This window comes from Homo sapiens, chromosome 18, assembly GCF_000001405.40.
Source record: "Homo sapiens chromosome 18, GRCh38.p14 Primary Assembly".
In the NCBI taxonomy this organism is placed as follows: domain Eukaryota; kingdom Metazoa; phylum Chordata; class Mammalia; order Primates; family Hominidae; genus Homo; species Homo sapiens.
In genome coordinates this window covers 10,065,625-10,083,911 of record NC_000018.10, presented here as the reverse complement: position 1 = coordinate 10,083,911, position 18,287 = coordinate 10,065,625, and the positions used below count along the sequence as shown (strand labels likewise).

General features: G+C 47.0%; 2 annotated features.

The window, feature by feature from the left end:
• Window positions 14,237-14,736: an enhancer, noted in NCBI's record as "H3K4me1 hESC enhancer chr18:10069173-10069672 (GRCh37/hg19 assembly coordinates)". NCBI's record gives its function as "activates a minimal SCP1, AML or CMV promoter by ChIP-STARR-seq in naive H9 embryonic stem cells {active_cell/tissue: H9 hESC(naive)}" and the evidence as "EXISTENCE:reporter gene assay evidence [ECO:0000049][PMID:30033119]".
• Window positions 14,737-15,238: an enhancer, noted in NCBI's record as "H3K4me1 hESC enhancer chr18:10068671-10069172 (GRCh37/hg19 assembly coordinates)". NCBI's record gives its function as "activates a minimal SCP1, AML or CMV promoter by ChIP-STARR-seq in naive H9 embryonic stem cells {active_cell/tissue: H9 hESC(naive)}" and the evidence as "EXISTENCE:reporter gene assay evidence [ECO:0000049][PMID:30033119]".

The window sequence follows — 18,287 nt, the reverse complement described above, 5'->3', positions numbered from 1 at the left end:
TGAACCAATTTTTAAAATGGTGCTAACAAATGTGAACCTGAAAGAGCCAGTCCTTGAAGGTGGATCCAAAGTGGCTGACTGGGCCTAAATATAAAATAGAGACATGCAGCTATTTGCTGATGAGGAGTCACACACATACTCTGGAGGTCCCCAAAACCAACACCTCTGTTCAACTTTGGGACACCAGAGCTCACCTGAACCAACCAATCATTGGCCAAGAGCTCAGCTGCCTTGGCCAATCAGGGCTCAGCTGTATCAACCAATCAGGGCTCAGTTGTATTAACCAATCAGGGCTCAGCTACACTGAGGATACTAAGCAAAATATTGGGGTCTTTAGAGTCCTGCCTCAGAGTTTACCAGGACTGTGACATCCCTGAAGAACTCTCCATTCGGATAGCTCTGAACTGAAAGGGAAAATGTGCTTCCTCTGCAGCCATGTCCCATTCCGAGGGCATCAGTCCACCTGCCTGACCCCCAGCCAGAGTTAGGAGAGGGTCCCACCCCCGTTGGGAGGAGCAGCTGTAGCCATGCCTGGGCTCAGGATGTCCTGAGAGGGTGGGTGCTGGAGTACACACACAGCATAGGTCTGTGCCAGCAGCCTCCCTCACCTGATGACCTCACCCCTCCAGGGAGCACCCACAGGGCCCCATCCCCTAATCCTGAAACCAGCCCAGTTGTTCCATAGAACTGATGTTTATGGTTTCTTTTGAATAAGCATAGAAATTGGTCCTTCTAGTTTTAAAACTAGAAAGTTACATTTGTCTTATCTGAGTTCCTTTCTCAGGAAAGCAACCATCAGCGCTCACAGATAGTTTCAAGGAACTGAAACTTTCCAGATCACAGCATCAGGACAATGAGACACCAGACCCCTCACCCATCATGATTGCATAACCCACCACCTGCTGCCTGTTGACTAACTCCTCTTCCTTACCCCTCCCTAATTCCTGTTTTCCCATAAGTAGTTACGTTTCTTCCCCGCTATGTAAACTCTTAATTTTAGTCAGTTTAGGAGATGGATTTGAGACTGATCTCCCATCTCCTTGACTGTACCATCTGAATAAAGCTGCCTTCCCCGGCAATACTTGTCTCAGTGATTGGCTTTCTGTGTGGCAAGCAACAGGACCTAGACCAAACCCCTGGTGTTTCAGTAACAATCCCACTCTCCCACAGCCTTTGGAGCCATCACCCTAACCTGTGCTCTCTCTGCTCTCTGTCTGTCTCCCCTGCTCTCAGCATTTTGCAAACCAGCTCATCAGTGAGTTGAAAATCAAACCACTCTCAAAACAGCTCAAGAAAGCAATCACTTTGTCTTCTACTATTCGGTGGTGGTGCATGCATGCTTCTGTCTCCTTCCCAGCCAGCCCATGCCTGGATGAAACTGTGACCATGGTGACAGCTAGACATCACTGTGCCTACTCTGAAAGACAAGGCTCCCGCCACAGACAGAGGACATTTAAAAATAAGAATGATTTTTACTAGACCTGTCTGAAAATACAGTCACCAAAAAAATTCCATGCTCTGGGGTGCTGACCTAAAGACTTCAAATCACAGCCCTCCCTGTTAAATGTCAAACTTTTCCCAGGACACCTCTAAAATGAGAAGGGTTCAATGCTGCACAGGAGATGTTTATGAACTATTCTGTTTTGAAACGGTAATGCAATGACAACAAGTCTTCAAGAAATATATCCTAGTAGAAATTCCCATGCAGGATCCCAGTTGAATTTGGTTTTTAAATCTTTTAAAAGATTTAAAAATAACAAATCCCATTCTTTTTCCCATGGCACTGGGTTGGGAGAAAGTAGTTTCTTTGACTCTAAGGTGGAGAAGCTCTCTGCTGCGGACACACGGATCTATTTTATGTCATCCCTGCCTGCAGATTTCTGCAGGTTCCTGTTGCTGCAGTTTCATCCGGGCATGGCCTGGCTGGGAAGGAGACAGAAGCATGCATGCACCACCACCAAATAGTAGAAGACAAAGTGGTTGCTTTCTTGAGCTGTTTTGAGAGTGGTTTGATTTTCAACTCACTGATTTCTCTCCCTCTGCAGTGTTCTTGGAAACAGACAAGAGCAAATCCAAAGCTTAACTGTTTTAATAGCCACATGAATAGAAATAACATGTGTGTAACACTGTGTGGATTACATGGCACTTAAGCAAAAATCATGTTGTTTCATCATCCAAACAGCCAAGTGGCATAGGCATTGCTATTTCTGTAATATGATCCTTCACTGTGCAGTAGAGATAAAGCCAGCTGTCAAAGGTCAACATGCTTGCAGTGGGAGGTGGATGGCGCTAGGGCTTCAGCTGGGCGCTTCTGCCTCGTTCATCACCTTGCTCCATGGCCATGGCTGTGTCCCATCAGGAGCTGCCGAGAAGTGGTTTTATTCCTCTGCCTTACAGCAATGTGACTCTTGGAGAAAGAGCAGAGCCTGCCTATTTCTAAAATCCTGCAAAGGAGACCTGTGCCCACAATCTTCCTGTTACTGCACGCACGGTTCAGAGACCACCACAGCTATGTCTTACTTCCCCACATCGCAGAGCCTGCCCTCCAGCCTCCTGTGCCAGAGCCTGCCCTCCTGTGCCTCATCCCTAGGAGAGAGGAGAGCAGACCATCCTGCTTCTCAGAAACAGCTGAAGTGTGTTTCAGCCAGGGCTCACTCCAGGCTGCAGAACCACTTCAAGTGGTGTCGAGTAGGGATCTATTGCAGAGAATGGCCCTTCCTCCCTCATGGGAGTGGAATGAGGTGTCTGTGTGGGTCTGGTACCTCCAATCTGGTGCTCGGTGGGATTCAGCAAGGCCAGCCCTCAGGAAAGCACGATGAACATGAAGTGGGAAGACCAACAGCGTAAGAAGGCATGCGTGTTAGGCAGTTCAATAAGTTGCAATAAGTAAATACCCAAGACTGGGTATTTTATAAAGAAAAGAGGTTTAATTGGCTCACAGTTCTGCCAATCATGGCACCAGCAACTGCTCGGCTTCTAAGGAGGCCACTGGGAGCTTTGACTCATGGCAGAAGGTGAAGGGGGAGCAGGCATGTCACATGGTGAGAGCAAGAGCAAGAGAGGGAGAGTGGTGAGAGGCACCACACACTTTTACAACCAGATCTCTGAGAGAACTCACTCACTGTGGTGAGGACAGCACCAAGCCATGAGGGATCCACCCCCACGACCCGAACACCTCCCACCAGTCCCCACCTCCAAACACAGGGGAGTACATCTCAACGTGAGATTTAGAGGGGATGAATATCCAAACCACATCAACAAGCGTCTCTCACTGCCTCTCATCAGCCTGTGATGCGGGCAACCTGCAGGATTTGCCGAAGCTGAAGGACGACCTTCGGGAAGCTGGAGCTGCTGCGGCCTGAGGCGGGCCACCTGGGACTTGAGTGGCAGCAGCACCTGCCCTGCTCAGACCTGCTCCTTACTCACCCCTTCCAAGGCCCTCAGATATCTCCTGTGATGAACGCTGACATGGCAAAGATCCTCCCAGCTTAGCTAAGTTGACCCAGTTTAACAGAACCCCATGGAGACTTCAGTCATAGTACCTTTGGGACCCGACTAGCACCAGGACTCACCAGCCTGGCCACAAGCCACCTCAGGCTGCTTATGTGAAACCAGACCTCAGATGAAAAGTTAGCTACATGACCCACTACCCTGTACACACACACACACACACAAACATACAGTCACGTGCTGCATAAAGACATTTCAGCCAATGACAGACTGCACAGATGATGGTGGTGCCATAAGATTATAATGGAGCTGGAAAATTCCTTTTGCCTAGTAACATCATTGCCGTCCTGATATCATGGTCCATTGCTCACCAACCTACTGCACTGCTGGCCCTATAAAAGCCTAGCACGTACAATTATGTACAGTACATTATACTTAATTATGATAGTAAATGGCTATGTTACTAGTTTGTGTATTTACCATACTTTTTATTGTTAGAGTGTACTCCTTCTACTTACCAAAAAAAGAAAAAAAAGGTAGCTGTAAAGTAGGCTCAGGCAGGTTCTTCAAGGAGTATCCAGAAGAAGACATTGTTATTCTAGAAGACGGCAGCTCCGTGAAAGTTATTGCCCCAGAAGACCTTCCGGTAGAGACAGTGATATTGATGATTCTGCCCCTGTGTAGGCCTAGGCTAATGTGTGGGTTTGTGCTTTCGTTTTTAACAAAAAACTTTTAAAAGCCAAAAAAAAATTAAAAATAGAAAAGAGCTTATAGAATAAGTATATAAATATTTTTATACAGCTGTACAATGTGTTTGTGTTTTACGCTGAGTATTATTGCAAGAGTCAAAAAGTTAAAAAAAATTTAAAGTTTATAAAGTAAAAAAGTTATGGTAAGCTAAGTTTAATTTATTAATGAAGAAAAAGGTTTTAAAATAAATTTAGTGTAGCCCAAGTATACTTTATATACACTTTATATACAGTGTATATAAAGTCTACAGTCATGTACATCAGCGGTCAGTCCCCAACATTTTTGGCACCAGGGACTGGTTTCATGGAAGATCATTTTTCCACAGACCAGCGCGGGGATGATTTCAGGACGAAACTGTTCCAACTCAAATCATCAGGCATGAGATTTTCATAAGGAGCTCACAGCCTGGTTCCCTTGCATGCACAGTTCACAATAGGGTTTGTGCTTCTATGAGAATCTAATGCTGCAGCTGATCTGACAGGAGGTGGGGCTCAGGCAGTAATGCCTGCCCTCCACTCACCTCCTGCTGTGCAGCCCGGTTCTTAACAGACCACGGACTGGTACTGGTCCTTGACCCTGGGGTTGGGGACCCCTGATGTACATCATGTGGTAGGCCTTCACATTCACTCACCACTCACTGCTATTTTTTATGTTTTATATCATATTTTTATGGTAGCTTTTCTATGTTTAGATACACGTAGACACACAAACACTGTATTACAATGGCCTGCAGTACTCAGTACCATCTCATGCTGCACAGGTTTCCAGCGTAGGAGCAATGGGCCACACCACACAGCCTCGGTGTGTAGTGGGCTCCACCCACTAGGTTTGTGTCAGTGCACCCTGCGATGTTCGCACAATGATGAAATCGCCTATGGATGCTTATCTCCAAAGGCACTGCTGTGGCTAGGCCGCGCCTGACTGTGTAAGTATTCGCCCCATCTGCCACAGTGAGGGCCAGCACTCTGACTGTGGGCCCTTGCTCAGGCCCCCTGAAGCTCACATCACAGCTTCAGCCTGGAAGGAAAAACTCCACGGAAGAAAGATGGACACCAGGGTTGAGTTAAGGTCCAAGTCTGCACATTAAAGCCAAATAGGACTTCTTTAACATGTTCTATGCATCCTATTTCACACCAACTTTTATGAATGTTCGTAGAGATATGTGTACATGACTAAAATAATCCTTATTTCTTGCCCAGTGAACAAATCTTGCCCCAAAACACACTTGCAATATTGACAAACTGAGATTCATGCTCTTCCACTGATCTAGGAAACTGTAGGCAGACTTTCAAAGCAAACGACCTTTTAATATTCAAAAGCATGGCTGTAAATCATTAAACCAAATTAACTACTACACCTTCCACAATTTCAGTAAGTTCATCTGCGTAATTTGGATGGTCACTCACCTCCACTGTACACAAAGGCAAGGCCGTCTCATGCCCAGATCAAAGGCACCAGACACCAGAGGCTTCTCCTTGAAAAGAAAACAAGACTTTCACGTGATCTTTAAAGACTCTGGTTGATAAACTTGGCAAGCCTTTCTTCTGTGCACGCATGTGACACACACACACAGAGGGATGAATAGAATCTGTGCAGATGGCTGAAAACTGTCTGATCTCTGTCACAAATTGCAAAGGCACCTAGAAATCAATAGACCTCCTCAGAGTATGGCAGTGACTGTTTCCATGAGTTCATTGAAGTGTCCAAGTGGTCATGATTAATGGAGCTGAAGCTTCACCAGGAGGGAGGGGAATATGTCACTTTATCCTGGGAAATGCCTGCAAAATTCCACATCTGCTTAGTTGGACTTTCTTATAAGTTCAGTATTCACCAGAATAATTCTACTGTCAATGCTGAAATCTCAATAAAATACATAGGTCCATTTTCCCACTTTACTCTATAGCCCAAGCCCTAGCACATGCTAAGTAAGAAATATTAATGAATGCATTCATTAAAGCTCTTGCTGTTGATCAGAATCCTGAAGGACTTCAAATTCACATTCTGCTTGCAATAATCCCTTTCCTATACCGTAAAACAAAAGTGTAAAACATTGGCTGGCACTCTAGTAACCTTAGAATAATGCAAGATTATTTTAAATAAATTCCTACTGTCTTCTTACCACTCGATTAGTTGACAAAGAATTTCCTGCTTATGATATTCTGATAAATGAGAAAATCTATTAATATATTAATTCAATAAGTTTTTTAATACGTTCTTTATTGTAGATTATGCTAAGCCCTGAGAAAATAAATATAAAAATCTAGCCTCTACCCTTAAAATAATATGGTTTAGTAGGTGAGGTAGAGAAGTAGACCAGCAATTATGATAAGATGGTGGGATAAGTGGCTAGGACAAATGCTTTGAGGGGGCAGGGGCTGCAGTGGGAGAGGCCACCCTGGGGGTGGGGAGCAGTGCTCTCTCTCTCTGCCATTGTTTAGAGTTGCCAGAGGAGGGTGATACTAGAAAGCAGACGAACCTCGAGTTGGTTTTAGTTTTTATCATTGTGTTTTTAATTCTTTGCAAACAATGAACCCCTTAATGCCCCCAACACTCCTAGGCCACACTCCTCCTGGCAGAGGCCAGGGTGAGGCATCTCAGGGGTCCGGGGAGAGGAACATGGACCTGAGCCCCAGCTCTGGAGCCAGCCTCTCAGAGAGCCAACCTCTCAGAAAGCCAACAGGGATGCCGGGGCAGCTGAGTCCCCAGTTGAGACCATGCAGTCTGGCCATGATTTGAACATTAATCTTAATACAATGTGGTTTGAGGCCAGGCTGGTAAGACCCAGGGACAGTCAGTTACCAGGTAATGTGACAGAGGCGCCACGTGGTTCAGAGGGGCACAGAAGAGAGAGGGTGCCGCCCTACATGGGTGGAGGATCTGTATAGATGCCAGGGAGGAGTGAGGTGGAGGTGACCGGTGGGCAGGATGGGAGGCTGGGTCACAGCATGGAGCAGCTCACTGCCAGGGACACCTGTTGGCACAGAGGGAGCTTGGAGTGGACTGAAAGGGAATGTGAGATGGAGAAGTGGACAAAGGGCCTTTGTACTGTCCTGAGGAACAGGAAGAAAATGAGGACTGTACCTTATGCTTCTGTGCCCTAGTGTCTCCCTCTTCAGGTTTCAAGCAGGATGCCTAACATATCAAGAAGCATTTAGCAATCTTCCTAATAAATGCACACCACTGAAGAAAATTAAGCAGGTGAGCCTGTCAGGTTGCAAACCTTCCTCTGCCTAGACCTAGAGACTGGCTGACAAGGAGAGAGGGTGGGGACAGGGGATTAGGGGACAGGGAGGCCATAGAAACAAAAGGCCATGGGAACAGGGGGGCCTTGGGGACAGGGCAGCCATGGGGACAGGACGCCATGGTGACCAGCGGCCATGGGGACAGGAGGCCATAGTGACCAGGGGCCATGGGGACAGGAAGTCATGGGGAAAGGAGGCCATGGGGACAGGAGGTCATGAGGAAAGGAGGTCATGGGGACAGGAGGCCATGAGGACAGGGGGTCATGGGGACGTGGCTCATGCCTGGTGCAGACCAGAGGGGTGCTGATTGAATTGTATTTACTGGAGAGAAGCTGTGGGATCCGTATCTGTTGAGATGCTGGACATGAGAGTAAGGGAGGACTCTAGGCTGCCCCCAGTTTCTAGCAGGAATGATTTGGACACAGTTCAGAGGGACAGCAATCAGAAAGAGGATGAGGATTCTGCAGGAAGGGGATGGAATGACCTGGAGCGTGTTGAGTTTGGTGTCAGAGAGGATTGTGCTGCAACTGTCTGCAGAAAGGTTCAGGCAGACGTTAGAAGTTGGTGCACAAGCAAAAAGCAACAGGGGAGTCTCACAGCAAGATGTACCATATGACAGAGAAAAAGTGCAAGGACAGGACTCTTGGAAGCACAGCCCTGAGGAGCGGCTGTGAGGCCACCAGTATACAGAGGGAAAGCAGAAAGGCCTGGGGTGGGAGAGGCGGCAGGAGAGCCTGGAGCTCAGAAGCCAAAGAATTTCCAGGAGCAAATGCCCACTGCAGCACAGAACGATAGAAATAAAATGCAAGCCACCAACGTTGCTTGAAAGCAGCAACCCTAAAAAGAAAACCAAAACATGAAATCCATTTTAATAATATATTTTGTTCAACCCAATACGGCCAAAATGCTGTGATTTCAAAATGTAATGAAGATATAAAAAATCGAGATATTTTACATTCTTTTTTTGGAACCAAATCTTGGAAACCTGGTATCACATTTGACACTTATAGCACATCTCAATTCAGACACCAGATTTTCATCAGAAATGCTTGATCTGTATTTACAGTTTATACAATTTACAGTTGAAAAACTACATTCACAGATGCAAGTGGTTCCAATTGTACTTAAAGGTTTTTCAATAACTGAATAAAGTATCTGCTTTTAAATGTAAAATAATTAAAAATTCCGTTCCTTGGTGCCCAGCGGCCACATTTGGAATGTTCTGTAGCCTTCTGCACAGCTGGACACCCTACTGAACCCGGCAGATCCAAAGCCTCAAACGAGGCCTCTGGGCTTGACCATGGCAGGAAGCCAGGGTCTAGAGCGCTGATGGGGGCACAGCCTGACAGTGGGGGGGTTACAGGTTGAGGGGAAGTAGAGGAAATGTCAACGACGTAAATCTCCTGGATACTGACTTTGTAAGGAAAGAGATAGTAAGGTAGCCACAGGGGACCCAGAACCACAGGAGGTTTATTCTTTTCTAAGACAGGAGAGTGAGACAGAGATTGAAATATGGGTGAATGACTGACGCAGTCTTTCGGGCCTTTATTTGTCTGAAAGCCCTGCTTAGACCAACATGCGATCATGACAGTGATAACAAGAGAGTTTACTGAGTGCTTTCTGTGCATTGCCTATCCTTACTTTCTGTGTTGTCTCATTTAATGAACACGTAACCGTGGAAGGGTAGGTTTTGCTTTTAGAAGAAAAGCAGAGACTGGAACGATCATTGTGCAGTTACGATGGGATGGACACATCACCCAGTCAGGCTTGGATGCTGGCGCTGGGATCCTGGGCGTGACAGGAAAGCCACCCCAGTGATGTTTGCACTGCAGCTTTGCTTTCGATTTATCATGTGCATAGCTGATATTGATGCAGCTTCTGATACAGGAGCAAGGTGGGAGCACACAGGAGGAATGGTGGAATCATACCCTCTGGGGGGCATTCCAGAGCCTCAAAAGGTGTCGCCTGAGAGGAGCATTTGAAGACCATCACTTCACAGTGGGGATGAAGAGTCACCTCTACAATCCTCTTATTTGTCCACCATGACCAAGTCCCGTGCAAAATCCCATGACAGACCTTTCAGTGGATGACTAGAAGTCATAAGAAAAACCTGCTTCCAAACCAGCCCTGCAGGGAAACAGCTGCTCACACATGCAGAAAACATGTCTCGCCCACTTCAAAGACTCTGTGCATGTCTAACCACCAAAGGAAAGAATTCTGAAAAGAAAGCCATAAATAAGTCTTCAGGGGAAGACAGGTTCAGCATTTTTGATTGCTCTGTTGAAAGGCAGAGCTTTCTGCCCCCTTTTTTCTTTTGCTGATCTGGAGCCAATAAAGCTATTGACATAATTTTTTTTAAGCTGAGTCCTAGAGATGTGTTAGAAAAAACAGTTTGTCCATCCGAAATAGCAATTTTGATACATGAGAGACAATGATTTCACCTGACTTGGAGAATTCCACTGCCAGCCAGTTCCCAAAGATTCTGCAAGAGAAGAGGGGCTGGGCCATAGTGCCAGGTACCCAAGGAGGACCCCAGGTGAAAAGGTTGATCCAAGGCTCACTGCTTCATAGGATCAGATTGGTTCGTTCTCTTTTTTTTCTTTTTTTTTTTTTTTTTTTGAGACAGGGTCTCACTGTGTTGCCCAGGCTGGAGTGCAGTGGTGCGATCTCAGCTCACTGCAACCTCTGCCTCCCGGGTTCAAGTGATTCTCCTGCCTCAGCCTCCCAAGTAGCTGAGATCATAGGTGCCCACCACCATATCTGGCTAATTTTTGTATTTTTTTTTTTAGTAGAGACGGGGTTTCACCACGTTGAGCAGGCTGGTCTCAGACTCCTGACCTCAAGTGATCTGCCCACCTCGGCCTCCCAAAGTGCTGGGATTACAGGTGTGAGCCACCACGCCTAGCCTCAGACTGGTTCATTCTCATGGAGAGGATTGGCTCAGGGGATCAGTGATGTCTGGTCATATGAAGACAGTAATAAGATTCCACAATGATAGCTAATATTTATATTAGGTTGATGTGAAAGTAATCACGGTTTTTTGCCATTGAAAGTAATGGCAAAAACAGCTATTAGTTTTGCACCAACCTAATACCATGCACTTGCCTGGTGCCAAGCAAAGTTCTGAATGCTTTATATATTTCCCACTTAAATTCCCTTAATCTTCATAGCAACCCCTGCAGACAAGGAAACTGAGTCCCAAAAAGGTGAAGTAACTTGCCAAATGTCACATAGCTAGTAAGGTGCAGAGCCAGAATTTGAACCTAGGCTCTGAGTCGGCCAAAGTACCTGCTAACCCTGTGTTTTATCTCAATTCAGCTGTCCTCTGAGATTGTTCTTGTGTTTAAATCCCTGTGGGCCCAGTGAAAAGGGAACTGACGCAATTAAGGGAAAGTTGCTCAGATTTTCCAGGCTAAAATTTCACCCAGATTATCCTAATGTATATATAGCTGCCATTTTAGGGGTCAGGACTTTACTAAAATAGGACTGGATATTTCCCTAACTTACATTTAAATGAAGTTTTTTCTGCTACCATTTCCAAACACAGGACAGTGTGGTTTATTGATCATGAGTCAGAGCTGTCCCAGGGCATGAAGAAATAATGTGGTTTCTTTATTAGCCAGGTTCCTGTTGAAGGTCCTAGTTGTTTCCAAGAGGAGCCAGGGGAAGACGTGCCTGTTGGCAACATCATAAACTCTGTGAGTCCAGCAGAAGGCTGAGAGCAGTGGCAATGGGCCCGCGGGGACATCAGGTGTTATCCACACCTGTGGTCAGGCACCTGTCGTCCTTGAAGAAATAAGTGACCTAACATCTCATTTTCACCACAGCAGGGTCCGTCGCAAAGAATGATGAAAGAAGCTAAACCTGAGCTTCGGAAAACTGAAGAGCCCACTGCAAAATCCTTCTCTTTGGATCAGTCAGCTTTCTGAACTGTAGATGGCAAATCCCATGAAACAGACACACTGGAAAGCCTGGAAAAGTCTAGAACTACATCACATGTCACAATAAGTGACACCAACCTCCTACTTGATGCCCAGAAGCTGCAGAACTGAGCCAGCCTAACACCTAGGAGTCCAAAAAAAAAGAACCAGCTCCTGCTCCTGGATGACAGTCGCCTGGACCTGAGGTCTTCCCCACTAGTGAGCAACCTGACAGGGACCCCAGGCTGGGCTGCTGGGGTTTGAGATTGACAGCAAATCCCAAAAGTGCCTGCTTCTTACAGTTCTGTGCACTTCTCAGCTTCTTTGTAACTCTAGCCAGTCCCGAGTCATGTCCTTGTTCCTAGAGCTTTAGCCAAAAGTCCCAGCTATAGGAGGATGGAAATCTTGAAACTTGCTGAGATGCCTCCTTGCGTTTTGTGGGGGGCAACCCAGCTTGCAATGGCAGGACTATAAAAATGAGATAGAGAAAGGAAGTGATATTTATCAAGTACACACTATGAGCCAGGTTTCTTTTCATACATGATCCCATTTAATCGTTAAGACCTTGTAAGGCAGTGTTATTATCCCTGTGTACAGATTAGGAAGAAAAACACAGAAAGGCAGCACAGCTTCAAGTTGTAAAGTGGCAATCTGAACCCAGCCTGGTTGACTCCAAAGCCTGATTCCAAAAACTGTTGGTATTCATTGATAGCAAATCCTAGAACCTGAGAGCTGGGAGAGGTGTCAGAGATCGTGTGGCCCAACCCTTCAAACTCAGGGGGAAGAAACAGGGTCCCAAGAGCTGAAGCCACGTGTCCAAAGCCACAGTGATATTTGTTTGCTGTCTTAGCATGCTGCTATAAAAGTTGGTAAATTAAAACATCACCCATATATTCGTCACAGTTTCTGTGGGTCAGAAGTCCAGCCACGGGGTGGCTCAGTAGGTTCTTTGCTTAGGGTCCCACCAGGCCAAAATCAAGGTGCTGGCAGGGCTGTGTCCCTTTCTGGAGGCTCCAGGGAGGATTCTATTTCCAAGCTTACTTATATTGTTGGGAGAATTTACATCCTTATAGTTACAGGATGGAAGTCCCCATTTCTCCACTGGTTCCAGGGCCCTTTCAGCTCCTTGGGGCCACCTGCATTCCTGGACTCACTGCCCCACCCTCTGCAAGCCCCTAACAGCCCATGGAGCATTCTCACCTTTCCATCCCTCCCACTTCTCCTTCAGCCCCATCTCTCGGACTCCCGTGAAGAGAGTTCTTCGCTTTTGAGGACACATGTGATTTGGTTGGGCCTGCCCAGATAATTCAAGATAATTCTCTATTGTAAGGTCCATAACTTTAATCATATCTGCAAAGTCCTCTTCCCACATGATGTAACATAGTCACAGTTTCCAGGGGTGAGGGCCCAAACATCTTTGGGGGGCCATTCTGCTGACCACATAGTAGTTTTAACCAAAGCTAGAGGAGAGGGTTATAAAAGCAGAATAAAAGTGTTAAGCCACACAAATCTGGCATGGCGTGTGTCAGGAATCTCACAGCTTCTAGCTAGAGGCTGTATCAGCCATGGGAACATTTTTTTCTATTCCCCGCCACCCTTGCAGAGCAAGAGAGAACCATGGCCCACTTGGCTTTTCTGGCCTGTTTTGGGAGCATGCCTGAGCCCTTTTGTGAGGACTGCTGCTGATCCTCAGAGCATCAACAGATGGATGTGCAAATGTAAATACCAAAAGCTTATTGCAAAATATTCATTCATATGTTAATTTATTCAGTGATTCAGTAAACATTTATGGAGAGCCTACTGCAAGCAGGCAATGTGAAAAAGGTTTGTGGATTTGCAACAACTTTGAATTATTCATAAGGCAGCTTCCTTGCCTGGTATGAATAACTGAATTGACCACATTTGGACCTTTGCAAAGGTCAGCACTCACATGATCCGTTTACACTGCAGATCCCTCCAGGGGAGGGCTGTGGCTGGTAACAAAGTGACCAGCCCTGCTTCGCAGGTGGATGGAGGTCGGTACTAGAGATGACCCACCTCTACAAACAAGGGTCAGGAGACCTGCAGTTGTTGTTGTCATGCATTCAGGGCCCCATGCCCTGTCGCTGTCCCAGCAGGGGAGTCTCAGGAAGACAATTGCCAAGCATGATGCATGCCAGGCTCCCTCAGCAAGGCCAGCAAGGATGTTCTTCTTGGGGCAAATGTGGTGGACCTTCAGTTCCAACCCCACCAGAGCTCTTGGCTTCCACAGTTCAGAGCCAGGCAGCACCTTCAGAGCATCATCTCCTCTCCAGACCGACTGACATGCAAAAATCTGAAATGATCCCAACAACAACTGATGGAGTGTTCGCTTTTCAAAAAGACCTGGCATTCACTAGCAAGCATCTTCAAATAGCAGGCTTTCTTTCAATGTGGGTCCATCATTTAGTACCGATTCAGACTTTTTTTTTAAGACCGAGTCTCGCTCTGTCTCTCAGGCTGGAGTGCAGTGGTGTCATCTCGGCTCACTGCAACCTCCACCTCCCGGGTTCAAGCGACTCTCCTGCCTCAGCCTCCCAAGTAGCTGGGACTACAGGTGCACACCACCACGCCCAGCTAATTTTTTTGTATTTTTAGTAGAGACGGGGTTTCACCATCTTGTCCAGGCTGGTCTCAAACTCCTGACCTCAAACAATCCACCCGCCTCGGCCTCCCAAAGTCCTGGGATTTGATTCAGACTTTTAAAACTGAAAGAGGCCTTGCAGTCCAAACTTTTTACTTTAAAACAAGAAAAACAGGCCCCAAAGAGGCAGTGGGCCTTGCCCAGGATCACAGCCAGTTGGTGCCAGCAGGACTAGAACTCAGAACCTCTGAGCACTGCCCTCTCCCATGTCTCCACCCTGCCTCCTACAGCAATGCTCACAGAGCACAGCTTATAAAAGGATAAGCACATGCACCAGGTGTAGCACATCCCGAGCTATGGCCAATATACCCATCACTTCACACAGCACGAGGATGCTGGCTGAGAGCTGAAGAGCGGGGTTCTTATCCAATTCTACAGTGCAAACTGTGTGATCTCAGGTAAGTTGTTCAGCTTCTCTGGATCTCATTTCCCTCATATGTGAAATGAGCCTTGACCAACTGGCATTTAAAGCCCTTCCCATCTCCGGTATCCATGACTAAATGTAGGAAGCCATGCGGGGTTAGCCACATGCCAGGAGCGCAGCAGAAATGTGGAAGGGCTTGGCCTGAGAGATGCTGCTCTGATGTGTGTGATGCAAGGCGCGAGGCTGGAGTGGGGTCTGCGGAGCTGGAGTACAGGAGCACTGGCAGGTGAGGAAACGCCGCTTCCCAATCTCCGGAGGCTCGCTGTGAGAGGCGGGGAGCTGGCAAGGTAGGCGGATCGGACGAATCGAATCTTGCAGAAAGCAAGGCCCACCCATGCCTCTCACCCCTCCCACTCCACAGAAATCACCGTCCCCATGGCTCCTGCAAATGGGACACTGCAAGTCCTCTCCAGTCACCACTACCCGCTGTTAGCAATGCCTTCCATCCTAGCCAAGGGGGAATGAGGAGGGTGACTGTGTTCTGGGCCATTGCACTTATTTATTTATTTTTTTTACCTGAGGCAAAAGGCAAGGAGAGCAGAGAGCTGCCTGGAGTCCAGCGGGCCTCACCTCTGCTTTCCCGGAAACACCATCCTCACTCCTTACCCCTCCTCATAACGGAGAGAGCACTGGATATGCCAGGAGGGCTCTGTGCTTGACCTTCACCTCCACCTCAGGAGAAAGAGAAGATAGATATGATTCCCATTTTATAAATAAGAAAACAGACGCTCTGCAAAGTGACCTTGCAGTCCTGCACGCCATCACAGGACACAGTCAGGAAGGCAGCATAGGCTGCCCTGTGAGAAGACAGTGTGAGGTATAGAGGGGGCTTCCACAAATGGCAGAGGACCCTAGCAAGAAGGATGGTAGGAAGACACTCTGTGCCCGGCACTGTGCACAGTGCACAATGAGAAAACCCAGAGACGCTGACAACTCAGTGAGAAAAGCATGTCCAAGACTCGCAAGGCTGACAGAGAAAGGAATGAAGCCCTAGTTGGCTGAAGTTTCACCAAGGGCCAGTCAGTTCAGAGACGCTCAGGAAGGGAGACAGCCGGTGAGGGTTCTGCGGCTGCACTTGTCATCTCACTCACCATCATAACACCATTTGCTTGGCAAAAATAGGTGTGTTAAATCTCAAGATGATAATAAATGTTGTCCAAAGACAGGAAAAAGGAGCCAAACCCCAGATGTTTTCATTCTGCGGGGCAATATTATGGTTTCCACTTTCACATTTGCCCTCTGTGCAGAAAAACAGAGCAGGGAAGGGGTGCAGACAGGACTTCTCACTCTCATTTCTTTCCAGCCACTATTGTGGCTTTTATCCTCTGTGGTAGACTTGAAATTCCACCGGCACAGGTGGTTACTCTGATCTCTCCCAGCAAGAGTTTAGCACATAAAAAGGAAACCAACTCTGAAAAGCAGCAAAACTCTCGAGTTAAGAACCAAAATATTTAGAAAGGCAACCTCTCAAAAAATGTTTTAAGCATATTCAACACATGGAAATTCCCATGCCAAGAACAAAGGTGCTCAGCCCAGTGAGAACACAGAGATTAGCAGGGAACGGGAAGAGGGCCGGTGCTCAGGAGGGAAACATCTCTGAGACACTCCTGTGCCCGCCTAGTGGAGTCACCAGGGGCTCGGGCATGCTTAGGCCTTCGTTGTGTCCTAACGACACCCAGAATCGAGGTTTCCCTGTGCAATGTGACGGTGTAGCTCTGAGCATAAGCACAGGCCTGCCGCACAGGTCACATTTGGAGGAACCCCGGGAAGGAGCCCCCTCCCAGGGGAGCTGGGTAAGGGCGGGAGGCACCAGTTTGCAGGTTATCTGGCCCTGTCCCATTATTTCACTGAGAAGGGAGTGATTAGCCAGAGATCACCTTGGAGCTTGGTGACAGAGCGGGGACCAGAACTCAGAGCTTTGCACTCCTGGTCCAGAGATGCATCTGCAACTGTCAGCAGAAAAGCCGATGCTCTGCCGCTCCCGCTGCAGACCTGGGAGGTTTTCCTTTGTATCCCCACCATTTCCTCCGCAGATGCCCCCTGGCTTCTGTTCTCTCCTGTCTCCACCTGCTCTGCCTCATGTCCGTGGCCTGGGGACAGCTATTTCTGTGGCCTGTGCTAGGCAGGGTGGGTGTGATATGGGTTGGAGGAGGTATGTAGGGAGCTTTAAAGGAAGAGAGGGGCTGTGAGGCTCCTGGGTCTGGTTGATTCCATGGCGTTTGGGCAACTGCAGGTCAGGCAGTTCCCCACTTAGGGCTGTCCCCAGTGGGCTGTCCCTTCCTGCACAAGGTAATCACTCCCAGAAATGCCGTGTCTCTCCCAGGACATCCAGGCTCTGAAGGGGGCCGCCTGTGTGCTCCCTTCCTCAGGGACTCCAGGTGAGCGGTTTGCCCCATGGACACACAGCCTGGGCCTGGCAGAGGCAGCCTGCAGGTGGACCAGCTGGGGTGTGGGCTGTGGAGGCCGCACCTCCCACTTGGATTGTCTCACTCAGTAACTCATGAAGGCAGGATTTTAACTTTTTTTTAGTATTCACTGGATTCTAACAAAAACTAGGGAGGAATGACAGTTTTATCAGCATGCAGCTGGAATGTCTGATTGTCAGTTTTAAAAGTCAACACCTATTTACGAGGTGAGGTTTAACCTCTATGGAATTTGTACAGCGTATGGATTTGTAATTCTTGATCTTCAGAAAATACGAATGTCTGTGTGACTTTAGACTACACGGACAGATGCCGTCTTTTTGATCATCTGGACATCCATTTAGACAAACTTGAGTGAGTGACTGAGTGAATAAAGTATTCCCAGTTCTGTTTATTTTAATCCACTCTAATCTTAACTTTTTAGATGATGTTACATAAAATCATCTCAAATCATGTCAAAATGAAATTAACTTCAAATCTAATTTTAAAAGTAAATGTGATAGAACTTTTTATTGGTAGCAATCCGCAAAATCAACCATGTTCATGGAATATGTATGTTCATGTCTAACTGCGTACTCTCATCTTTGAGGCTACTTGGTTGAAATTTGGGACCACATCTTTACGTCTACAAACTACTCAGAGGTGTGGAAAATAAGAATGAGCCACCGCCTAATGAGTGAACTTCCTTGAGCATCTTCTGGGTAAGACAGGACTTTCCAAATGACATCCAGTGACGCTTCCATTCTGAAAAGCACTTCCTGCTGCCTGCTGTGGTCATAGGAATCTTTCCTCAGCAGTCTGGCTCTGGAGACAGAGTTCCATGGGATATCAGTATGTTTTACTTAAAAAAATATTTTAAAAATACGAAAAGTTCTACAGACAAATACGTTCAGAGAATGCTTGATTTAACAAAGGATATCAGCTTTGTTTACATAAATTGACATACTACCTGGTCAACTCCCATCCCCTCACGATGTAACTTCCAAGAACCTCTGGGTAAACTGAGTTACAGCTCATCTGGCTACAGCTTGGCTGACGGCAGAGCCTCAGATTATCCAAAGCAGTCTTTCCTATGCCAAGGGAGAGGTTGGCTTTGGAATGCAACCTGAGACACACAGATATCTGAAACCTCCGGGGCATGATCATTCTCTCTTCCTTTTCCTCCTCCTCCTTCTCTCTCCCTGTCTTTTCACCCCAATCACGAATCCCAACAGCCTGCCCCCTTGGCCTCCCTCTTAGCAACTGAGCATCTAAGTAAACAGTGTGGTTGCAGCAACTGCAGAAAAACCAAAAACTAGGTCCTCCATGCACAGAAGGGAATGGTCATCTTTCCTTTTTTCTGGAAATAGAACAATGAAGCATAGATTTAATCTTGGTTGTAGAGGTTAAGAAATTAAAAGAAAGTTAATTTGCTCA